This window comes from Homo sapiens, chromosome 22 (assembly GCF_000001405.40).
Source record: "Homo sapiens chromosome 22, GRCh38.p14 Primary Assembly".
In the NCBI taxonomy this organism is placed as follows: domain Eukaryota; kingdom Metazoa; phylum Chordata; class Mammalia; order Primates; family Hominidae; genus Homo; species Homo sapiens.
Genome location: NC_000022.11, coordinates 27,331,340 through 27,357,800, shown reverse-complemented (window position 1 = coordinate 27,357,800; position 26,461 = coordinate 27,331,340). Strand labels below are relative to the sequence as shown.

Genomic DNA, 26,461 nt, shown 5'->3' with positions numbered 1-26,461 from the left:
CAGGTTGGGAATACAAACAAGGTTGTGCTGCTCCTTCTTTCTCTTTTATTTATTCTTCAATTGAGGTATAACTTACTTCAATAGGGTAAAAGATACAGATTTCTTAATAGAATTTGCATTTGTATATACCTGTCTTATTCTGCTCAGGCTGCCATAATGAAATACAACAGGCTGCATGGCTTAAACAACAGAATTTTATTTTCTCACTGTTTTGGAGGCCAGAAATCCTAGATCAAGGTGCTGGCTGATTTGGTGTCTGATGACGGGTCTGTTTCTGACTTGCAGAGCACCACGTTCTTGCTGTGTATTCACATGGTCTTTCCTTGTGCTATGCATGCAGAGAGCAGGAGGAAGAGAGGGAGAGAGGGGGAGACAGACAGAGAAACAGAGAGTGAAAGACAGAGTGAGCGCACAAACTCTGCTGTTTCTTTTATAAGGATGCTAATCTTATGGGATCAGGGAACCGATGGTCTCATTTAACCTTAATTCCCTTCTAAAAGCCCTAGTTTTAAACATAACCATATTGGGGAATAGGGCTTCAAAGTATGAATTTGAAGGTGTGGGGAGACACAATTTAATACATGGCAATACCCATACAACACTACCCAGATTATGACAAGAATATTTCAGGTATCTCAACAGCCTCCTTTATGTCCCATTTTGGTTAATGCTCCTCCTTCCAAAAGTAATCATATTCTGACTTCTGTCATCATAGATTAGTTTAGCCAGTTCTTGAATTTCATATAAATAGAACAATGAGTATGGTATACTTTTCTGTATGTATTTCTGGTTTCTTGTGCTCAATATTAGGGCAGTGAGTTTCTTTCATGTTGTTACATTCTCCTCATCCTTCTTCTTTCTGAGTAACAATGCATTATAGAAACATACCACAATTTATCTTTTTTTAACCTGTTGATGGACATTTAGGTAGTTTCTAGTTTTAGGCTATTACAGATAGTGCTGCTATGAATATTCTTGCGTAGGCACTTTGGTGGAAATATATAAACATTCCTGTGTATATATGTGTAGTAATATCCAGAAATGAAATTACTGGGTCACAGTCTATGCTTTCAGCTTTTGTAGCTACTGCTAAACAGTTTTCCAAAGAGATTGAACCAATTTGCACTCCCAAATTGAGTATGAGAGTTCTAGTTGCTCCACATCTTCCCCAACACTTGATAATATCAGTCCTTATTTTAGCCATTTTCAAGGGTGTGTGGTGATATGTCATTGTAGTTTTAACTTGAATTTCTTTGATGACTAATAATGTTGAATAGGCTTATTTACCATTTAGCTATCTTCTTTAGTGAAAATAACATCTCTTTTAAATATTCAAATTTGTTAATCAAACCCCTAAATTACCAGGAAGTCCACTTTTTTCCTCTTGTGGTCTCTTCCTCTGCCAGCAAATTGTCCAGAAAGTCTGTTCCAAGGAGGTCAGTCTTGCTTCTGAAGACAGGTGTAGAGTAAACTAGAGTTTCATTCATAAATTATCACTATCTAGTCTTTAGTCTCCACAATGTGCCACTGTTGGGAACTTGTCTGGTGAAGTCTGGCACCTGTTTCCCAAGTTTTGAGGATGTTGTTCCAGATTCCTGTCCAGATTACAGAACTGCTCCATGCTCAGGGTCTCAAGTAGTCTTTTAGAAGCCACAGTCAACCACACAGTCACTGAACACTATAGGTTGGTGGTCGTGTTTTAGAAACAATCAAATCAGGGGGCTGTGACTAGAGGGTCTATCCATTTCAGCTATGGTCCTTTTCCCCAAGCACCCAGATGTTATTATGAGGCTGCATCTCTAGACTAGACACCCCATTTCTTCACAGTGATCTCCACTGTAGGGCTTTAGATGTCCACCCCCTGAACCCGCCACCAATTTGCTTCATCCAGGACCTCCCCAACCCTGCAAAGAAGTTCTAAAAATGTTGAATTTTGCAACAAAGTGAGTTCAGGTCTCAATCTCTCTGCTCCCAGGTGGCTTCTTTTCCAACCACAATGTAAATTTATCCTTGCCCATTGAGAAATCTTGGAGGGGAGAGTGGCAGTCATGTGCCAATGGTTCTATTATACCTTTCCTTCAAGGAATGGGTTTTCACCTTAACTGGAGACACCACTTATGTGGCTCTTTTACAGTCCAAAATTTTACCACAGGGTGACTTACCATGTCAACCTAGAGAAGTGACTGGTGGGTTCTTTTAGTGAAAATAAACTAATTTATTAAAATAATATTTTAATGAAAATAAAATAATAATTACAAGTTCTGTTTCACCAAGTATCTCATTACAAATATTTACAGGGCTGTTATTATGCTTAGTGATAATGGATTAAAGCATTTAAGACCCTTGGGTTTGAAAGCTGGTTGAGAGGCTTGGGGTTTGGGGAATGATCTGGAAGCCATCAAGAGTGGCCTCTAGGTTTGATATGGTTTGGCTGTGTCCCCACCCAACTCTTTTTTATTTTTATTTTTTTGAGATGGAGTCTTGTTCTGTCACGTAGGCTGAAATGCAGTGGCACGACCTCGGCTCACTGCAACTTCCACCTCCCAGGTTCAAGCGATTCTCTTGCCTTAGCCTCTGGAGTAGCTGGGATTACAGGTGCGCACCACCACGCCTGGCTAATTTTTGTGTTTTAGTAGTAGAGATGGGGTTTTGCCATGTTGGCGGGGCTGGTCTCAAACTCTTAACCTCAGGTCATCCACCTGCCTCGGCCTCCCAAAGTGCTGGGATTACAGGTGTGAGTCACTTCACCCTGTTCCCACCCAAATCTTATCTTGAATTATAGCTCCCATAATTCCCATGTGTTGTGGGAGGGACCCAGTAGGAGATAATTGAATCATGGTGGAAGTTTCCCCCATACTCTTATTCATTGTAGTGAATAAGTTTCATGAGAGCTGATGGTTTTATAAAGGGAAACCCCTTTCTCTTGGTTCTCATTATCTCTTGTCTGCTGCCATGTAAGATGTGCCTTTCACCATCTGCCATGATTGTGAGGCCTCCCCAGACACGTGGAACTGTGAGTCCATTAAACCTCTTTTTTTTGTTTGTTTTCTAATAAAAAATAAATTACCCAGTCTCAGGTACGTCTTTATCAGCAGCATGAAAACGGACTAATGCAAGGTTTTAGCCGGTAACTGAAGCTGTAGAAGTGGATGAGAGTGTTCAGGAAGATGACATGGAGAGAAGAGAGATGGATGGGACTGAATTCCAAGAGCATCAGCATTTAAGAGATGGTCAGAGAAGATGCAGGAAGCTCAGCAGGTGCAAGGGCACATAATCAGATGTGCCTTGAAGAAGATACCTCTGCCACTCTGCAGAATAGGCTGCAGATGTGCAGGGTTAGATGCAGAAAGACACCTGGGGGTTGGAGTGGAGGTTCAGGAAAGAGATGATGGGAACTTGGGCTTGGGGATGTGGCATTTGGGGAGTCAGGTCAACGGGGCAAGTTGGAGATGAATTGGGCAGGGGGATGAGTGGACAGGATAAGTCAAAAGGTATCCAGCTTGTGTTGGTGACATTCTGCTAGATGGGAAATTCTCAAGGGCATCAGGGGCCTGGGCGGAGGTTCAAGGTCATGAGGATTCATTTGGACATGTTGAGGTTGAGGAGTTTTAGAGATAATCCAAGCAGAAAGACAAGCTGTTATAGGCTGAATTGTGTCTTCCCTCCACTCCCCCACCAAATTTATATGTTGAAGCCCTAACCCTCAGTACCTCAGAAGGCAACTGTATTTGGAGATAGGGCCTTTAAAGAGGTGATTAACATGACCACATGTGTATTTGAGAGTGGCAGGTGGGAAAAGGGAGAGGATGGAGAAACCACCTATTCAGTACTATGCTTATTACTTGTGTGATGAAATAATCTGCACACCGAACCCCCATGACATGCAATTTACCTATGTAACAAACCTGCATATGCACTCCTAAACCTAAAATAAAAGTTAAAAAAAAGGTGATTAAAGCAGGGTGCAGTGGCTCATGCCTATAATCCTAGCACTTTGAGAGGCTGAGGTGGGGGGATCGCTTGAGCCCAGGAGCTCAAGACCAGCCTGGGCCTGGGCAACATAGAGAGACCCCGTCTCTACAAAAAATTTAAAAAACTAGCCAGACGTGGTGGTGCATACCTGTAGTCCCAGCTACTTGGGAGTCCAAGGCAGGAGGATGGCTTGAGCCCAAGAGGTTGAAGCTGCAGTAAGCCATGATTGCACCACTGCACTCCAGCCTGTACGACACAGCAGGACCCTGCCTCTAAATAATAATAATAATAATAACAATAAATAAAGAGATGATTAAGTTAAAATGAAGTCCTTAGGGTGGGGTCCTAATCCAGTCTGATTGGTGTCCTTTTAAGAGGAAACTTGGATACAGAGAAAGACACTCTGCATGCACAGAGGGAAGACCATGTTGAGGACACAACGTAAAGGTGCCATCTTTGAGCCAAGGAGAGAGGACACAGGAGTAAACAACCCTGCTACACCTTGAACGGGGACTTCCAGCCTGCAGACCAGGGAGAAAATAAATTTCTGTTGTTTAGAAGGTAGCCACCCAGTCTGTGCTACATTGTTATGGCAGCCCTTTGCTGATTAATAAAGTTGTCCAGGAGCTTCAGCCCTACCTCAGATGCTGTGATTGACCAGGACGAGCCTAGGGTACGGGAGCCCTTACTGACTCTTCCCTGGTCACTCTAAGCCCAGCCAAGAATACCTAGCTCAGCTTTCTGAGCACCATAAGACTTCCAGTCAGGCTGCCCTGAAGGAGAAAGCTGAACGGACCAGTATGTAACATGAGGCTTGACTTGGAGGCACCTCACTGCCTCCCTCACCCTTGGGTGCTGGCGATGCCAAATTGCACATCACCTCTGACGGCCCATTGTCTGCGCTCTTCACAGACCTCACAATGGCATTTCATGAATATTTACTGAGCTGCTCAGATATGCAGCAGGGAGAACAAACAGAAAGAGAGAGAGAGACAGAGACAGAGAGAGGGAAGGAGAGGGGAAGGGGAAAGAAGGAAAAAGGGGACCTATCCTAATATTTGCGTCACTCAGAGACAGGATGGAGCAGAGGATGCTGGTACAAGGGGAATCTGGTTTGAGAGTGTGAGCTTTTCCAGGGGGATAAAGGCAACAGCTTCTTGTATAATGAGATTGACTTTTAAATTGAAAGTGCTAGTGCTTGTGCTGCGGTTCAGACTTCCCTGCTGTGTGTTTATTCCCAAGGCTCTAACATTAAGACATCGTACATACGAGCTGGGAGCATTCAATTAGGTTTTCTGTTATTAATCAGCCAATTAAGCAGCAATCTCTGGGATATACATTTTCACTCTTAAAGAGGTGAGAAGCGTGCTGGGGCCCCCAGTCTGGTTTGAAACGCCAGCATGGTGTGGAGGGAGAGGCCAGGGATCTGAGAGAGCCAGGAGGAGACAGGATGGGATGCAGTAGCAGGGGAGAGTGGATCCCATCCTATGGGCAGTGTTGGTGTTTTTGTTCTAGAGACTTCTGGGAAGATGGCCATGGAAGGTTTTCCTGTGGAGGAATGTCAACTGGAAGAAAAACCGTTAGTTGTGAAGTTTGGCTGACTTTGGAGTCAAGTCTGCCACGAGAAATACTGCTTGGCTATGCTGAGCCTCAGTTTTCCCATCTGCAAAACGGGAACTTTTAACCTCTATTTTTGAGTCCTTCCTCCTTTATAAGAAGCAAGTCCAATAAGATAATGAATATGGAAAATTTTTTTGTAAGCTATCACATGCTAGAGAGGGCATAAGGAAGCAGTAGTGGCCATGATGGACAAAATTTCTGCATAAATACATTTGAGGACAGTAATAGGTCTTTGAACATGAAAGATTAGTATATAGACTGAGTGGCTAATAAGCACCTATACTTCATTCATTACATTAATTTGATGGTTCCAATGAAACAGACAAAAGGAAGAGAACACTCTTACCCTAAGTAATACTTCTCAGCCTGCTCTAATAGATAAATCCTGGCTAGGTGCAGTGGCTCACGCCTGTAATCCCAGCACTTTGGGAGGCTGAGGCGGGTGGTTCATGAGGTCAGGAGATCGAGACTATCCTGGCTAACATGGTGAAACCCTGTCTCTACTAAAAAAATACAAAAAAAATTAGCCAGGTGTAGTGGCGGGCGCCTGTAGTCTCAGCTACTCGGGAGGCTGAGGCAGGAGAATGGCATGAACCTGGGAGGCGGAGCTTGCAGTGAGCCAAGACCATGACACTGCACTCCAGCCTGGGCGACAGAGCGAGTCTGCATCTCAGAAAAAAAAAAAAGGTTAAATCCTTCAATTCACTATACCCCAAAATGTAATCAGACTGCAACAATTGGGCAGAATTGGGGAAGGGAGAATAAAGAGAAGATCCCAAAACCTTTGTAAATACAGACTCAGACATTTTATTTATATTCATAATAAGTACCAATCAGAAGAAAGCTGTCAATCTGTTGAGATGGTGGGTCCTTAAAGGAAACAAAATAAGAGCAGCTAACCATTAGGACATAAATCAATTGTAAGTGTTTGGATTTGTGATTAGCATACAAATAATTTGTTGTTAGACATTTTTGAAATTAAGTGTCGGTGTAATTAGCACATAAATCATTTGCACATGGGTGTTCCTGAAGTGTCTGATGTGTAATTAGACATAAATCATATGTATCTGGGAGTTTCTAGGGTGTTTGTTATGTCATTAGCACACAAATCATTTTTACATTGGTGTTTTTAAAGTGTGTGTTGTGTAATTAGCACATGGATTATTTGCAAACACTGTGTATGTTTCAGATTATTTGCTGTGTAACTAGCATGAAAATTATTGGTACATAGAAATTTCTAAAGTATTTAGTGGGCAATGAGCATGTATTTAATTTGTAAATGATAGTCTCTAAAATGCCTTTTGTAATTAGCACATAAACCATTTGTATATGTGTATGTTTAAGTTTCTTGATTTGTAATTAGCGCACAGATCATTTTGTGAATGAGCTCTCTTAAGCAATTTATAATTTGCATGAAAATCATTTATCAATGGGTGTTTCTAGAGTACTTGATTTATAATTAACATATAAGCAATTTGTAGATAGGTCTTTAACAACTGCTTGAAAAAAGTTCTTCCTCTTTTAAGAGATACTCTTTTATCCTGTTTACTTTTGCTTAGCCAGCCTAATTGCACTTGTAGAAAGAATTTATAAGTTGATAAATTTTTATGCTTTTTTACTCACTGAAAGTTTGGAATGCATAGCTGTATACTCAAAGTGTTTTATGAGAGTCTATTCTTGGCTTGTATGAGATCAAAAGTCTGGTGCCTTCTTAGAGATTAGGGTCAGATCTCAAAGTCTCTTTCACCAAGGTGGAGTTGTATCTTATGTTTCAGGGGATCATAAAGTGTCCTGTCTTGGACCTATTACTAGGGATCTAATGAAAATAATGACAGGCAACACCAATTTATAAAAAATATGAGCTTTATCCAAATAAGAAGCCCAAATACCCTAGAAAATGACTGTAAAGGAGACAGATAAGATAATTAAAATTGTTGAGCACTCAGTGGATGCCAGGCATCACCCTAATTGTTTTATGAGAGAAATATCAATTAATTATAATAACCATCATGAGAGTCAGGCATTATAGCACCAGTATTAATCAAAGATACAATGGAAAAAAGTTCCAGAGTTAAGGAAACCTTAATAATGTGTCTTGAAAAATATCACCAGGTTATGAACAAAGTAATGAAAAAAATGACCATGACTAGATTAATTCTGGCTTTGAATTCCAAAGGTAAATGAAAAATCTTCTAAGGATTTAGACAGAAAACATTAAACATTAAAATAATAATTTAACTTCAAAAGACTAAGATTTCTCCCTGCAATAATAAATGTCCCCAAAAGGGCAACTTAAAAGAATAAAAGATGAGACCCCATAATTTTATACCCAGCCAAACTGTTTTTATTGTCTGGAAGTGGCAGAAGAAAACATTCTTATCTATTTTTAGTATTAAAAAGCATATCTTCATATTCTCTTCTAGAAAAAATTACTTGAGGATGGTCTACAGACAACAAATATAGCAAAATGTGGAACTCAAGAATGGCTAAATGGTGATAAGAAAGGACTTGCACATAAACCATGTCTTGGTTTGAATCCAGCAAGAGATTCCATCTGACCAATATAGTAAAGAATGCAGCTTAGAATTTGGTCCCAGCAAAGGAAGAGAAGGGGGAAACTCTCTCTATATTACAGGTAGTTAGGAATGAGCAGGGCAGGAGAGGGTTCTCCCCCCACCCACTAGAAATTTGTGGTGATGGCTCAGCAATTATTACATTGCTTCTCTGAAAGTGATAAATTGGCAGCTGGCACCAGGGAGAGGCTATTTCCTGATGGTCCACACTTATTAACAATAAAGTGTTAATTAAAGCCAGGCCCCAGGGAGAAGCAACTCCCTGGGCATACACATTAAGAGACAAAAATGGCAAAGTATGATCTTCTGGGTACACCACCAGAAAAAGGATGAAAGCCTCAGATGGGCATGCATGTAACTCCCTAAATACACTGCACATCCTCAATTCCCAAGGGTGAGGAAAACACTGAACATGCAGAAAGCTCACCCTAAGGGAAGAATCATGGGAAATAGGTGAGCCTATAAAGTCCTAGGATCAAGATTAAATGACCTACTTTTTTCTCTCTCTTTGACCTTCAGGTGCCCACTTGGATCTCTTCCAAGGGTTCTTTCCTCTCTTTCCTGTTCTAAAGACTTTTTAATAAACCTCCACTCCTGCTCTGGAACTTGCCTCAGTCTCTTTTTCTGCTTTATGCCCCTCAATCAAATTCTTCTTTCTGAGGAGGCAAGGGCTGAAGTTGCTGCAGATCCACACAGATACAGAGCAGTAACTTGGGGTAACCCGGATCTCTTCTGCTGGTAACAAGATGTCTCCAGTCATAAGAGATTCTCACTCAGTATTAAGAAAGTCCTGGAGATGACGTGGTACCAGCCTTGCCAAATCACTTGTAGTGAGATTTCACAATCTTTAGTTGTTCATAAACCAGCTTGCAGTATCTGTATCCATAGTGTTATAATTGAGGTTTTTCTTTAAATCAATCCACTTGATTTTTAAAAACATTTATTTCAAAAGATAATTTATGTAACACTTGTAAATGTAAAACCGTCACCATCAGCCATAAATAGAAGGCAATCATACATATAAAAGCAGTGAGAATATTAAATTTTGACATTACCAGGACATACAGGGTTTTGTCTGTTTCTTTTTTTTATACTTTAGCAACTTGGGAATTAAAATGTAACTTACAACAAATGGTCTTTTACAACTAATTGGAAGATTGGTTTTCTTTCTTAGAGGTATGCAAAAATAATGGCGCATTTGAACAATCATGGCATCTTAGAGTGGGTGGAATACAGTTATAATATTCTATTACATGTAGCTGGCCATATAAGCAATTCTCACCAAAAGTTTTGTGTTTGAAGACTATTTGCTGCTTAAAAAGGGAGATTAGCAAGTGCTAGAGAAGTGTTAAAAACAAGTATAACAAGTGAAATCTTCCCATATAATCAGATCGAAAGGGATTTGTGGAAGGTCTACTTCATTCCATGGGTCAAGGCTATTTAAAGCTGTGTCTGCATATGCCCCAGAAGCAGCTCTTCCACGCCCAGTGGGAAGCAGTCATGTGTAAAATTCTTAAACAAGTTCCTCTTAACAACAGTCTTTAAAAGAGTAGTGCAGGGTTTTCCTGGCCATACCTCCGGCCTCACCGCCAAGCCAAATTTGCCCAAATACAAGAAGATTGTCTCCAAGACCCCACAAAAGCATAATGTATTTGTATACCTTTCAAAGAAAACGCAGTGGAGACTTGTGATTTCTATAATGGTATCAATACCGAAGCCCAGGCTCAAAGAGGTTTTCCAGCCTGTTCCTGTAAGTGAGCAGACAGGCTGGGGATTGGTGGGGAGCAGCCAAAAGTCCTACTTAATCCCTAACTCACTGGTACAGGACCACACTGATGGCTCTTAAGCACAGCCATTCTGTTCTAGCACTTTCCGGCAATGGTGGAACCATTTGCACAAGAGTTGGGGGCTGGGGGGCGTTAGGCGGAAGGTAAGGAGAAAAGGATGCAACCAATATGGCCTATTCTGTGTCCACAAAAGCAGAGCTTCAGAGAGCAGCATGAGAGTTACTTTTCCTGTCAGAAACCTGAGAAAATATTTTCTAAATATTAAAAACTGACATTGAATGACCTGATTTCACTGGACTTTTTTTTTTTTTTTAATTGAGAAAGACAAACTGGTTGCCCAGTGGTAAATATTAGGGAATTCTGAAGGGCTCAACCTGTTGTCTTCTGCCTGGGATTCCTAAATGATCCAATGTTAACTTTACCTTCTTTTGAATGAATACACATACATGATGTATGATGTACAGTATATATTAAACACAGAAAAAGAGGGTGAAAAGTTAAAAAGCAAATCCTATAACATTAACAGAGATGACCTCTTTGTTGGTTGAATTCTGATTGATTACTTTTACTCTATACTTCTCTCTCTTTCCCAAATGTTTGACCATGAGTGTTTATTGACCTTAGAATCAGAAAAGAAGACAAACATTAGAATTTACAATATTTACATACCTATCAATCTTAAGGATGTTTGAAAAAGCTTAGGAAAAACTACGATTATTTTTGCATGACAGGTTTTGGGTGATTTTTATTTTTTTTTCCCACTTTTTAATATATTACTTTTTTTTCTTAAACAACAATGGATTCATTTTGTAAGAGCAATGATAAAGTTATTTTAAAAGGGAACAAAAACAAATGGACTCAACTGTACCTTAAAGTAGTCCAATAAACTTCCCAGTTACATGAACAGATGTGTGTGCCATGTGCACACACACGTATATTTACACACACATATATTTACAGTTATGCATCACCTAACAATTGGGGTATTTCTGAGGAATGCATTGTGGGAACATCATACATGATTTCACTGTATGAACATCACACAGTGCATTTACACAAACCTAGATGGTGTAGCCCGCTACATACCTAGGCTTTATGGAACCTAGGAGCTCTTACTCCCAGGCTACAAAGCTGTACAGCATGTTGCTGTACTGAATACTGTAGTCAATTGTAACACAATGGTAAGTATTTGTGTATCTAAACATAGAAAAGGTACAGTAAAAATGTGGGCCGGGCGCTGTGGCTCACGCCTGTAATCCCAGCACTTTGGGAGGCCGTGGTGGGCGGATCACGAGGTCGGGAGATGGAGACCATCCTGGCTAACACGGTGAAACCCTGTCTCTACTAAAAATACAAAAAAATTAACCGGGCGTGGTGGCAGGCGTCTGTAGTCCCAGCTACTCGGGAGGCTGAGGTAGGAGAATGGCGTGAACGTGGGAGGCGGAGCTTGCAGTGAGCCGAGATCGCGCCACTGCACTGCAGCCTGGGCAACAGGACGAGACTCCGTCTCAAAAAAAAAAAAAATGTGGTATCGTATTCTTATGGGACCAGTGTTGTGTATGTGACCTGTCATTGACTGCAATGTCATTATGCAGCATATTACTGTATATATAGTTATATAATGTATTCATAGATATAGTTATTATATATTCACTAACCTAGTTTGAGTTGGGTTTTATAATTTATAGCAGAAGGAGTCCCAATTAATACACTGTTGCAGACCAAGTTGGACTTTATCTTCCTGCAAACTCATGTTCATCCCTAGGTTCCTCTCACTGAAAAGCCCCTTAATACAGGTCATTTTTAATGGTTTGCTTTCAAACTGGTTTTCTAAGAAAACAGTCCCAGCAGGTTTGACAGAGTGAGAGCAGCCTGGAGTGGGTCCGGGAGAAGAGCCCTCCAGATTAAGTTACCGGCTGCGGAGGAGAGTGGACTGAGAATGTTTTCTAAATAAGCCTCGACACAGCCTAACGGCACATGCCTGCTTTATTTCTCCTTGTTAGCTCTGACCTCTCTCCCTCACCCAGCACTCCGCCATGCACTCAGGACTAATTTGTTCAAATAAAACCTGACTGTTTGCAAGCCCAGGTGAAAGCGATATATTTAAATACATCTTTAAAGTCAAATAATATATATATACACACATATACATACTATGAGAATGCTGTTCTTGCTTTATTAGCCTCAACTGGAGAAGGAAGAGGGGGAGAGGAGATCTTTCTCAGGGCTGATTCCCTGGCTGTGCAGCCTCAGGTAAATTCCTTGCCTTCCTTGAGCCTTTCAAATGGGTCAAGATGACCTACAGATGTTCCCTTCCAGTGCTGACATTTTTATTATTTGTGAGAAATGAGAGGAACCGCAGCTATGTTAAACATTGATGCATGTGTTTACTCACTTCTTCCTACCACTCCATTCATTCATTCATTCTGGTGCTTGAGTGAACAAGTAAGCTGGTGAGGTGGGATGGCAAGCGTAATTAGACAGACCTATATTCAAATGTCAGTTCTGTTACCTGGGACAGCTCCCTCAAAGGCCTGGGACCTCACTTACCTGAGGACCCAGGGACCTCTATAAAGTGAGTATAGCATTACCATCCCCAAGTACCGGAGAGGGGAGATCTACATGAAGGTAAAATTAGAGGGCCCGGTACAAAATAAATCCCTAGATCACACCAATTTCCCAATTTTAGAGCCCCTCTTCATATCTTTATTATTTTTTTTTATGAGAACTTAATCATACAAGGACTTTTGCTTCCAGCAAGATGGGATAACAGGGCCTGGATTTACCCTCCCATATGAAACAACTAAAACAGAACAAAAGAAAACACATAAAACAATGGTTTTCAAGACATCGAACATCAGATATCAACGAACAGTGATCCCAGAGAGATGGCAAACAAATGAGGTGAGCTCTACAATTGCCCCAGCTTATACCTTGAGAGAGACTCCAGTCCACAACATAGGGAGAGGGAACTCAGACAGATCTGGGTGTTCTTAAATGGAGGAGATAAGCCTGGGTGTCCAGGGAGGCCAAATCTGCTACAATTGGCAGAGCCAAGTACCAGAGAGAGAAAGCTGGAAAAGAGAGCTCTGGGGATTTGCAGAGGGCTCTCCTTAAGTACTCAGCAGAGTGCTTATCAACAAATGCTTGTGAGGAAATGACCAGAGGCAAAGAGGAAGAAGCACTTGAAAGGATTAGATACCATAGTACTCAGGAATAACTCCTGTTCCATCAGGTGGAGCTCTCAGAAACATTTTACCTTAGTACTCGGAATAATTACTCCTAGTTCAAACATTTTTCTGGTCCCACCTGACAAAGCTTAAAAGCGAGACCTGAAAGGATCAAACTGTTTCCAAGTAACTGCATCTAGGAACAAAGCTCAAGAATATTTATAGAAATACAAAAAAATTAGCACCTGAAAGGATAAAATTCACAATAGCTGGCACACAATCAAAATATTACCAGGTATGCAAAGAAGCAGGAAAATAGAACCCATAATGAGGAGAAAATCAGTCTACTGAAACTGAGTCAAAATGGCAAGGACATTGAAAGAGCTTTTAAAGTTGTATTTCTTATGTTCAAGAACCTAGAGAAAAGATTGAGCATATTAAGTGGAGACATGGAGACATAAACATTTTCAGAAATAAAAATGACCATATCTGAAATGAAAAATATATTGAATGGCATTAACAGAAGATTAGACATTGCAAGAGAAAAGATTAGTGAATCTGAAGACACAGAAATAAAAACAAACCAAATCAAAACACAGAAGAACAAAGAATTAAAAAATAGAACAGAGCATTAGTAAGCATTAGTAAACTGGGGGACAACTTTAAGCAGCCTAACACACATGTAATTGGAGGTTCTGAAAGGAGAGGATGGAAAAAAAGTTTGATGAAAACTCAGATTCAAGAAGCTTAACAGACTTCAAATGCAAAAAACAAACAAATAAAATCTATTCCAAGACAAATGATAAATACCTAAAACAATGAAAAAGAGGAACAGAGAAAAGAACATATTACATGCAGATGGAAAAAGATAAGAATTATAGTAAACTTTTCATAAGGAACAATGCAAGCCAGAAGATAGTGAAGCAGTATCTTAAAAAAAAAATGTTTAGAATTATATATCCAGGAAATATATTTTACAAAAAATAAAGTGAAATAAAGATTTCTTTAAAAAAAAAAAAAGATGTGAAAGCTAAAGCGTTTTTTAGCTAAAGCTAAAAAAAGACATGTTAAACTCTGCAGGAAATGTTAAAGAAAGTCCTACAGGCCAAAGGAAAATGATACTAATGTGGAATATGGGTATTCAAAGAAATAAAGAGCACTGGGCATGGTCACTGAATAGGAAAATATAAAATACTTTTTTTCCTAACATCTAAATCCCTTTAAATGATAATTCATGGTTTAAAGGGAGAACACTAACAATGTATTGTGGGGTTTATAACATACATAGTATGTAAATTGTTACAGTAAATGCACAAATGCCAGGTGAGGAGAAATAGAAGCATATTGTTGAAAGGTTCCTATATAATATATGAAGTAGCTTAGTATTTTTTAAAGGTAGGCTCTAATAAGTTAAAGATGTATGCTATAAACTCTAAAGCAACCACCAATAACACAGAAAGTTATGGTTAATTCCAGAAGGGATAAAACAGAATAATAAAATAACACTCAATAAATCCAGAAGACTGGAAGAGAAGAAGAATAAAACAAAAAACAGATGAGACAAATACAAAGTAAATAATAATATGGTAAGAAGATAGATTTCAGTCCAATCATATGAATAATCATGTTAAATAAAAATTATTCAAATACCTAATTAAAGGAGAGGTTGTTAGATTGAATAAAAAAGCAAGACCCAACTATTGCTTCTTATAAGAAATTTAATTTAGATATAAGGATGCAATAAATTAAAAGATGGAAAGATATACTTCCTAACACTAATTAAAGAAAGCTTGTGTGGCTATATTAATGTCAAACAAAGTAAATTCTTGAGCAAAAAATATTTTTATTGATAAAAAGGAATGCAAGCCTTGGTTTCACATTAAAAAATCAGCGTAATTCATCATATTTACAAACTAAAGATGAAACACCATATAATTATCTCAGTATTCACAGAACAGGAATTTGAAAAAATTCAATATCTATCAATTTCTATTAAAAACTCCTAGCAAACTAGAAACAGAGAGAAACTTTCTTAACTTGATAAAGGTTATCTATGAAAAACTTACAACAAACACAATATTAAATGGTAAGTAAGTGAATGCTTTCCCTTTAATATTAGGAACAAGGCAATGACGTCTGATAGCACTTTTAGTCAACATTTTTCTGGAGATTCTGGCCAGTACAATAAAGGAAGAAAAAGAAAGTAATAAGAGGCATCTATATTTATTAGCAAACAATATAATTATCTTTCTGGAAAACCTGCTGTATCTACACTAGAGCTTGTAAATTTAGCAAGGCTGAAGAATACAAGATTGATATACACACTCAACTACATTTCTATATATTAGTAATGAATAATTGAAAATTGAAATGAAAACCCACTACTGCTTGCAATAGCATGTGAAAATATGAACTAGGGATACATCTGAGAAAAGGTGGGCAAAACCTTCATATTGAAAACTAGGGAATATTGTTAAGAGAAATTAAAGAACATCAAAATAGAGGAAGAGGTATACCATGTTCATGGAACAAAAGAGTCAATGTCATCAAGATGCCAATTTTCCCTAAATTGATCTATGGATTCAACATAATCCCAATCAAAATCCCAGCAGGCTTTTATTATTTGGTAGAAAAAAAGATACAATGATTCTAAAATTTGTATGGAAAAGTATAGAACCTAAAAAACCCAAACCTCTTTAAAAAGATAAATAAAATTGAAAATATATTTACAGTACCTGATTTCAAAGGCTAAGTCCAAGTTTCCTCCTATTCCTAGTATGGTATTAGCAAAAAGATCAATATATCAATGGAACAGAATAGAATCTAGAAATTTACCCATACATATACAATCAGTTGACTTTCAACACAGGTGCCTCGGCAATCTAGTGGTGGAAAGATAGTATTTTCAACAAATAATGTTGGAAAAATGGGCTATTCATATCCAAAGAATTAATACCTTTTGTCCATACTTAATAAAATAAAAATTAGGTTAAAATTGATTAAAGATCGAAATATAAAACCCAAAACTATAAAACTTCTAGAAGAAAGCATATCAGAAAATCTTTGTGACCCTGAGTTAGGCAAAAAGATCTTTGATATGACACCAAAACCATTATCCATATAAGAAAATATGGATAAATTGGACTTCATAAAAATTAAGAACTTTTGCTCTTTGAAAGGCATTGTTAAAGGAATCTAAAAATGCACAGAGTTAGAGAGAATATTTTCACAACACATATTTGATATAGTACTTTTATCCAGAATACGTAAAGAACTATTAAAGCTTGATAACAAGCAAACAAAGAGCCTGATTAAAGAATGGGCACATGCTCAAAACTGATGCTACAACTATCTCAAAATAAGATGCTTAGTTTTGAGAAAGGGCGAAAAAGTTTGAATAGATGCTTGAACAAAGACAATATACAGACGGCAAATAAGCAATGAAGAGATGCTCAACATCATTAGCCATTAAGATACTTCAAATTAAAATCTCAATGATATACCATTGTATACTGATTTGAAAGTCCAAAATGTAAAAGGCTATTCCTATCAGGTGTTGGCAAAGACAGAGAGACACTAGAATTCTTATTCACTTCTGTTAGACATGCAAACTGTACAGCCTCTTTGAAAAATGGTTTGTGGTTTTAAAAATACTTAAACATACTGCTACCATGTGATCTAGCCATTTCACTCCTAGATACTTATCCAACTGAAGGGATCTATTCATACAAAGACTGTACATCAATATTCATGGCAGCTCTATGTGTAATAGCCAAAAACTGGAAATAATCTAAATAACACCCATCAAAAGGTGAATGGATCCACAGACTGCAGTACATTCATGCAATGGAATACTACTTAGCAATAAAAAGGAATGAGCTGTTGACATATGCAAAAACTTGGACAAAACTCAAAGGTATGCTGAGTTAAAGAAGCCAGACACAAAAGATTACATGCTATATGATTCCATTCATATAGAATTATAGAAAAAGCAAAGGAATCTATACTGACAGAAAGCAGAACAGTGGTTGCCTGGATTGCAGGGTGATAGTGGAAGTGGGGAATGATGAGAGGAAAAGATGACAAGGTGACTTCTGGGGCACAATTGATCATATGTTTATGATCTTGAATGTGTTGATGCTTTTATAGGTGCATACATATGCCAAAACCAATGAAATAAGAAAGAATTTTAGAAGTAAACATAATCGCAGAGTCCTGCTCTTGGCAATTTGAGTCTGCTATCAGCCCCTGAGGGTGAGAACTACACAAATTTCCTCTTATTAGTCTAAGGTCCCAACCACACTTGACACGTAGGAGGGAATGGATAAGCCCTTGACTGTTCCTATCAAGTAGATCTGAGTTCAAGCCCCCATCTTACTTTATGCTTGCTTTGAGAATGAGAACAAATGGCTTAACTTCTTGGAGCCTCAGTCTGCTTTCCCATAAAATGGGCACATGAATAGACATCCAGATATTTACTATCACCTCCATCATTCCACACTGTAAAGATCAGTTCACTTGTCTGGCCTCCCTTCTCCCATGCTGGGGTCAGGTGCTCCTCAACCTGCCTCTGCTTCCTAAGGCCTGGCAGAGAGTGGGAACTTTCCATGTTCATCTCACTGTCTCCGAGTAAAAAGTGATATGTGTCATGCAGCACAGAGCCACTCCAAGTGACCAAAGGCTACTACTGTCCAAATCCCAGAGACTCTGACCAAGCATGCTGTGGTCCAGGGTGGGAATGTGGAGATGAGAACTGCCCCCTCTTTGGTGAGCAGTCACTGCAAGGCCCTCTTTGGTGTCTCATTCTACTCATGCCTCTCTGAGTGTGTGGCCCAGCAGACGAAGGTGACCACCATGCCAGCCCTTTGCCATGTCTGTTCTTTGGGAAGACACCTCTTTTCCCCTGAGGGCTCTAGCCTGTCTTACATCACAGTCAGGTACCTGGGGAGATGTAGGCAGGTGGCAGGATGTTGACTGTTAGGATAATCAAATTAGAAAATAAAAGGACAGTGCCTGTAGCAAGTGTTTAGTAAATAGCTGTCATTATTATCATCATGGTATTTACGATAGTGAGTTCTTTGGGGCTGGGTATTGTCTACTGCTTCTCCACTCCCAGTACACTGCCTGCTCACAGTAAATGCTGGGTTCACTAGCAAATAAATGAATTCATATGTTTCTTAGCAAATAAATGAATGAATTCAGGCCTGACTTTACCCAGGTACTGACTGCCTGACCACCCTAAACTTGCCCTATAATTAGAGGCTTGGGCCTGCCTCAGTGTGTGGGGGTGAGGCAGTCTGTTTCAGCCCACATGTGTCCCTGGGCATCAAACTCCATGGAATAGAAAGATGGGGGCAGAAAATCAATATCTACAAGCAGGAAAAACAGAATGTTACTTGCATTCTCATATTCTAATATCTTGAATCCTTAATCAAACCTATAATCTAAAATTCAAAAGAGGGCTCAGGGAAAACAAAGACTGCTTCATGCTCAATAGAAGCTTGGGCCCTGGTTGAAGTGCATTGTGGTTTTGTTCTATGAAGTCAGGAAAAGAGAATGAGATAGAGGAAACAGCAACAACAATATCTAGCTACCATCAGTTGAGTATATCCAATGTGCCAAGTACTGTGCATGCCATTGAATCTTTATGACCTTAGCAGTGGGTGTGATTCTCATATTCACGGGGAAACTGAGGCTCCAAGAGGTGAAGTGACAGGCCTTTGGTCATAAAGTGGGTAAATGGTGGGGCCAGGCAAAGCCAGCTCAACTGATTTGCAAAACCTCTCTCTTCTCCTCCATCCCAGGCTGTCTCTGGTCCCATTGGTTACTCCCTTCCCTCTGCTCACACATTGTCTTTGTCCATGAAGTATTACTATAACAGAATGCCTGAGACTGGGTAATTTATGAGGAACAGAGATTTATTTCTTACAGTTCTGGAGAATGGGATGTCTAAGATTGAGGGGCTGTATCTAGTGAGGACCTTCATGCTGTGTCATTCCATGGTAGAAGGTGGAAGGGCGAGAAAGAGTGAGAGAGCAAGAGATTAAACTTGCAGCCTCGAGTCAGCCCTTTTATAATTGGCATTAATTCATTAATGAAAGTGGAGCCCTCATTAAACACCTCCCATCAGGCCCCACCTCCCAACACTGTTGCATTGGGGATCAAGTTTCCAGCACATCAACTTTGGGGGACACATTCAACCTGTAGCACCCACCTATTAGAAATCTTGGGCCAGGTGGGGTGGCTCATACCTGTAATCCCAACACTTTGGGAGGCCAAGGCAGAGGGATCACCTGAGGTCAGGAGTTTGAGATCAGCCTGGCCAACATGGCAAAACCCCGTCTCTACTAAAAATACAAAAATTAGTTGGACGTGGTGGTTTGTGCCTGTAGTCTCAGCTACTTGGGGGGCTGAAACAGAAGAATCACTTGAACCTGGAGGGCGGAGGTTGCAGTGAACCAAGATCGTGCCACTGCATTCCAGCCTGGGTAACAGAGTGAGACTCTGTCTAAAAAAAGAAAAAATAAAAAAATCTTGGCTCATACCCTTTCAAAGAGCAATTCCAGCAAGTCTGTTTGGCCACAGCCCTTCTGCTCTTGTACCTAATTGGTTGGTCTTTGGAAAATGGAGTGACCCCTGAGAAGTCAAGGTGGACTCTCAGTAACAGCTTGAGCCTGGTAAGTTAGGAGACCTTTTTGAAATTGGATTGCAACCATATGAGCTCATGTGACCCATGGGAGAGGACTTGGAGGAGGGCTAGTGGTAGTGTTGGTGACATCAGGACCCCTCACACACGCTGGCCCTTTGCACATGCTGTCCCACTGCCTGGAATCTCCTCCCCGCACACCTCATCATTCTGAGGTCACAGCCTCACCTTCTCACTCTGGCCTCTCCTTGTTGCCCCCACACCCATTCTCCTCCCCTGCCTAGTTTCCTTCCATATTACTTGATACTTTCTAGAGAATTATATATTTTCCTTTATTTCTTTGATCATTGCATATATAGACCATAGTTTACTCACTTGGCTTTTACTGATGGCCAGTTATGTTTTTGGTCTTTGGCCAGAAGGAGCATCCTTATGCATATATCTTTGTCCACCGTGCAGTGATTTCCTTAGGATGAAAAAGTCCCTGGTGATGGAATTGCTGAACCAAAGATACCCAGTATCTTTCTGATGTGGTACCTTATGACTTAATATCAGCTGTTCAATCCAGAGGAGGCCTGTTAAAGTGAGTTTTTGTATGGACTTTAACTAACCACGCTTTGACTTGCTCTCTTGTTAGGAAGAAGTGTGGCCTGAGCCTAGTGCCATGGTTGTCAATTGGAGCAATGCGCACAAATCTTCACTCCTCCCTGAAACCACAGTCTTTACCATGTGATTTTGCAGAGCCCTTCAACACTGACTCTGGACCACGCACATGACATGCTTTGGGCAACAAGATGTCAGCTTATGGGATACATAGGCTTCCAATATGCTTGTTTGGATGGGCTTTCTTTCTCCTGCTCCTTGCCATCACTGCAAGACGTACATGCGTAGGCTACCCTGGAGGATGAGAGATACATGGAGCAAACTGAGATGCCAGAATCATTCCCACTGAGGCCAGTCTCAATCAGCCAACAGCCAGCCAAGCCCTGGGCATGAGTAATCCCCAGCAAGATCAGCAGAACCACCTGGCTGAGCACCCTAAATGCACAAGCAATGCAAACTTATTGCTGTATGCTGCTGAGGTTTTGTGGTTTTTTTAAAAAATGTAGCATCAGTCAATTAGCATAAGTCAATAGATAACTAATACACAAGGCATGACAGTGAAACCAATTTTCTCACTGCTCTACCAATAGTAGGGGCTTTTGCAGTCATCCTCTGCAGGCCTGGGCATATTCTAAAATAACTCCATTGGTATGCACATTTGTAAAAATTTTTATTCTGCTCATCAGCTGGGGGACTTGCTACTGCTTCTTGGAAGAGGCAGAGCCCTAAGTAAGATTTTTGAAGGAGAGAGGAGGTTGGAAGAACTTGAAGGTATGCAAAGTGATGAATGACGTCAGGCTCATGACCACTGAGTTGTGTTCTAAGCTCCTTGCCATCCAGGCTTACCCCGCACGGTTAGGGATTTCTGATGAGAGAAAGCAAGGGAAGTCATCTACAAAGGCAAGTGTTAACCTTGAAATAAACTTGCATGGGAATTTACCGTGTTAGTTACCGGCATGAAGGACACAAAATAACAAAGAGGGAAAATTTATCAACCACAGTTTTGCAAAAAGCCATGCAGTGGTGTGGTTAAGAGACCTGGTTAGGGCATCAGCATGTCTTGGCATGAATCCCAGGTCTGCTACTAATTTTTGTGACTAGGGACTGATGCTATAACCTCTCCGGATCTCCTTTCCTTGAATGCACAGCAGGGGTAAAAGCACCTACCTCGTGTGTGCTCGGTTGCAGACTTAGAGTCCTTCCTTGGAATGCTTTGCTCTGCTCTTCTTGGCTTGTTGGGCTCCCCGAGATCTCCCTGGAAAACATCTTCTGCGCTGGGTGTCCCCTTTTTATAAATGCTCCCATGGGGAAAGTTCTGATTCATCCACTCCAGCTAAATGGGTGAGACTCAGAGGGATCAGATGGAGAAGCTGGCTTTGGGGAAGCCTCACACTCTTCATTAGTCAACAACAAAGATAACAGCTACCAGGATTTGAGCACTTACTTGGATTATCATAACAGCCCTATGAAGGAGAACCTGTCATGATCACTCCCATGTTACAGGTGAGAATTTGAGCCTTGGAGAGTTGAGTCATCTGCTCAAGGTCACACAGCCAGTAGTGCAACTCAGGTCTGCCTAAGTCTGAGAGGTATTATCCAAGACATATACCAATATACCATAGATCTAGTTAGAAATGTAGTTGCCCTTAGAATAAGAACAAAAATACCTTTCAAGCAAATCTCATCCAGAGCTCAAAACGTAACATAAGAGATTTGAGCCCATCTTAGTGCTCTTTCTTCTAGGCTTATTTCTTTCCCCTCTAGAAGCCTTTGGCCTTGCCGTTGCTTCCATGGGCAGTTAGAATAGGCTAAGCTATTCTGCAGTAACAAAGTAATTCCTGAATTTTAGTGACTTCAGACAATTTTTATTTCTCACTTATGCTACTTGCTCCCCAAGAGACAGCTGAGGTGTTGCAAAGCGCTGGCTTCAGTCAGAGGTAGGACCAGCTCTGTAATTTGCAGAGCTCAGTGCACAATGCAAATGCAGGACCCCTTGTTCAAATATTGCTAAGAATTTGAAGATGGTGACAACAGAGCAATAAACCAAGTGCAGGGTCCCTTTAACTGTGGGACCCTGTGTGACTGCACAGGTTGCTCACCTGTGAAGCTGGCTCTGCTGAGGGGTCCCGACTGATGGAGGCACCATGATTTGGGGCTTTGCTGTCATCAGAGCAGAGGGCTTGGGAGCCCAGCAAATCACTCACTGCCTCTTAGAGTTCTCCTGGAAGGGATACTCATCACTTCCTCTTGCTTATGTTCATACTCTCCACTTCTGTTCCAAATGGAGGGAGGAGAGATGGAATATTTGTACACAGACCTCAATGGCCACCCACCTCCTGCCCCCACCATGGTCTTCTCCAGTATGTGCCCCCTATACCTCCTCTTGCTATTCCTATTCGCCAACCAGATGCCATCTTCCCAGAATACTGAGATGACAGATCACAACAAAGAGGGCACAGCCATCCTTTCCCAACCCCAGTGCATCTACCTCCTACTGAGACCTCCCTTCCTTGCCACTGTTCTCACCCTTGACTCAGCCATCTTCATCATGAATCTGCATGGTCATCTACCTGTAATTCAGGTTATGATGCTTGCCCCCAAATTTATTTTGTAGACAGTAACCTAAGGGCTCTTTAAAAAGTGCCATTCCTCTTTTTCAAACCTTCCAATGACTTCCAGTTGTGAATTGAATGGTGTCTCCCCACCCCAAAGAATATATTAAAGTCCTAATCTCTGGAGCCCGTGACTGTGATCTTATTTGGAAATAGGGTCTTTGCAGATGTCATTAAGCTGTACATTATGATGGGAGTACTACTGGAGTAGGGCAGACCCTTAATCCAACAAGACCAGTGTCCTTATAAAGAGAGGACAAGGAAACTCTAAATGGACACAGAGGAAGAGAATGCTATGCGGTGACAGAAACGGGGACTGGAACAACATGCCTGAGAGGTAAGGAACACTGAGGAGTGTTAGCAACCCTGGGAGCCAGGAGAGAGGCCTGGAAAAGATTAACTCCTTTTTTCTTTTTTCTTTTTGAGATGGAGTCTCGCTCTGTCACGAGGCTGGAGTGCAGTGGTGCGATCTCGGCTCACCGCAACCTCCAGCTCCCGGGTTCAAGCGATTCTCCTGCCTCAGCCTCCCAAGTAGCTGGGACTACAGGCACACGCCACCAAGCCCCGCTGAAAAGGTTAACTCTTAGAGCCTTCAGAGGGAGCATGGCCTTGCCGACACCTGTTTTTGACTTCTGGCTTTCAGAACTGTAAGAAAGTGAATTCTTATTTTTGAAAGCCTCACAGTTTGTCACAATTGGTTACAGCAGCCCTAGGGCACTAATACACTGCCTGTCACCCTAAGAATCAAATTTTAATGCCTCCCCTCACTTGGCCTATAAGTCCCTGCATGGCTTGAGTTCTGCCTACCTCTCAACCTTATTGCAAACCACAGTCTACTATGCCCACTGTACTTCAACGACACTGGCCTCCTTTCTGCCTTCAGACTTTTGTTCTTGCCATTCCCTCTGCCTGAGTAACCTTTCACCACAGCAAGATTGGGCTCTTCTCATTCATCAAGTCTCCACTAAACTGATCTCTTCATGAGAGGCTATTTCTGGGGCCCTATGTAAAGTAGCTCCTTCTGTCTCCACATTGTTCTTGAACTAGCCCTTCACTATCTTTGATCAAAGATCCCTGGTGATCTTCCTGACATTTTTCACTATTAGTGATGATTTTCTTGATCTATGTATGTGTTGTCTGCCTTCTCTACTGGAACATAAGCTCCATTGCCAGTGTGGAGAATAAACTATAAGGTGGGCCCCATGATCTCCACTTCCCAGTACTCACACTCTTTTGTGACACTTCCCTTGAGTGTCTTGCCTCTATCCAATGCTACAAAGGGGATAGGATGCCACCTCTATGATTATATTGTATAAAACTGTAATGCCTATCTTGCTAATATGCGAATACATTATCTCCCTTGCTAGCTTAGATGGTGCCAGTGGCCATGTTGTAAGCCAACCTATGGAGAGACCCCCAGGGTAAGGAACTGGAGACAGCCTCTAGCCAATAGCCAATGAAAAACAGAAGGCTTCATTACTCAGTGTTAATGGAACGGAATTCTGCCAACAAACACATGAATTGGGAAGTGGCTCCTTCCCCAGTCAACCTTGCAGATGAGACTGCAGACCCAGACAACACTGTGACTGCAGTTTCATAAGAGATCCTGAGCGGAGGATCTTGCAAAGCCTGGATTCCTGACCCACAGAAAACATGAGATAATAAGTGTTTGTAGTTTTCGGCCACAAAGTTTGTGGTGACGTGTTACATAACAGTAAATAACAAATACAGTCAATGACCTACTCTCTCTTGTTTGCGCCTCTGACTCAAGGCCTGGCACAGTGTATCTCTTATAGCAGGTGCATAGTTAACATGCATTGGCTGATTTAATGCATGGTGCTCAGCAACATGGCACTGCAGCATGTTGCCAAAGTGTGTGTATGTATGTATTGTGTGCGTGTGTGTGTGTGTGTAATAGATACTATCATATACATATTAATATTCAGGGTAGACATATATAGTAGATAGTACATTATAGATAATATAATGTGTATATATGTATACACACACATGCACACATACACAGGGTAGAAAATTAGACTTTCCAATGGAGACGAAAGATAGCCAGCACTAGACTTGACCTCATGGGTTAGGGATTTTTGCCACAATCTTCCTCCTTGTCCTTCACCATTTATTTTTTTTCTTAACATTTATAAAGAAATAGGTTGAATTGTACCATTACTAGGGTCTCCAGCAGTTTTGCTTTCTATTCCAGTCTTTGGAGGAAGGTCATGAAAATGCTTACTTTTTCATGTTTTTTTTTTTTTTTTTCTGGCCTGGTCTCAAAAAATTTAAGACTCTTCGAGTTAATATAATAAAGTTAAAAAGAGATTGAGATAAATCAAAAAAGATGGAGAGAGAGAGACCGGGGATGGGGGGGAAAGAGAGACACAGAGAGAGAGAAATTGAGAGAACCAAGCAAGGCATCTCCTCCTGGTTGAAGTCTGGCGAGATGCTTATTTAACATTACAAGGAGGGTGAACAATTAGGACATCCTCTCCTTGTGCCTGCAGACTCCATCTCGGAGACTAATAGATATTTACTTAGTCCTGTCGGTCGTGCTGTGTTTAATATTTATCCATCACAGGAAGCTGCTGCATGTTAAATGTCAGCCTCTTGATTTCGACAGCTCGTGGCTACGCAGCTCACAGCTACAAGCAGGCAGAGTTGCACAAACAGCCCCAGCGGCCCCTGGCCTCAAGCCTGCCTGGCTTCCTGGCAAACCCATGCCCCGTGTCTGTGCAGTGCCCAGGACTGGCCACTTGGTGGGTCCCACAATCTCTGAGGGGTCCGACCCAAGGTCCTTGAGCTGGGTATTCTGTTTGGGGTGTCAGTTAATGCCAAGGACAGCAGGGCTGTGGCAGTGGGAGGGGACTTACCTTTAGCGGCTGATACATGCACCAGGGACCATGCCAGCTTCTGACCTCCACTCTCTCCTTACGTCTTCAGCACAGATACGCTCTACATTGTTCACTTCCCCTTCAGATTCTTTTTGCTCCCTGCTACCTTCAGCTACGCACCCCAGGAAGCTGACTTCAGTGGGCTGCATCCAGTTGTGGGGGTCTCCCTTGGCAGCTTCTGGCTGAGTTCAGCCAATAGAGAATCCCAGAAGGAGCTCTGCGGGTGGGACAAGAGAGAGATGAAGGCGTTTATTTCCCTATATTCTTCCCTGCAGAGTTGCTGCGGGCTGGCTTCTTCACTTGCCTGAAGGCGTCAGCTTCCCCTGCCAGGCAGCCCTTCCCTCAATCTCATTCTCCTTCTGTCTCTCTCTCTCTTTCCAGGTAATCCCACCCTACTTCACTCTTTCAGGCTTCGGGGTGCAAACAGTTCCCCACCGTTACTAACCCTTTGGTGGTGTTCTGTATCATCCCTAATGGCTTCTCTATACCCTGCTCCATCTTGATGACCAGCCCCTGGATCGAATAGTCTCAATTTGAAATATGCCATCTCTCTCCTGCGGGAATTCTCTCTATACATC

The 26,461-nt window shown here is 41.2% G+C and overlaps 1 long non-coding RNA gene across 2 annotated transcripts; it reads right to left on the bottom strand.

Annotated features, from left to right (window-relative positions):
- Window positions 1-176: 176 nt before the first annotated feature.
- LOC102724900 (uncharacterized) lies at window positions 177-26,461 on the bottom strand. 2 transcript variants are annotated; one of them, XR_430432.4, is made up of 5 exons: window positions 26,329-26,461; window positions 25,863-26,100; window positions 22,471-22,643; window positions 21,539-21,704; window positions 177-328 (listed from the first exon to the last, which is right to left on the bottom strand). It is a non-coding gene; the product is annotated as an uncharacterized LOC102724900 (long non-coding RNA). The 2 variants fall into 2 exon arrangements; XR_938122.2 differs by lacking the exon at window positions 177-328 and adding an exon at window positions 15,513-20,665.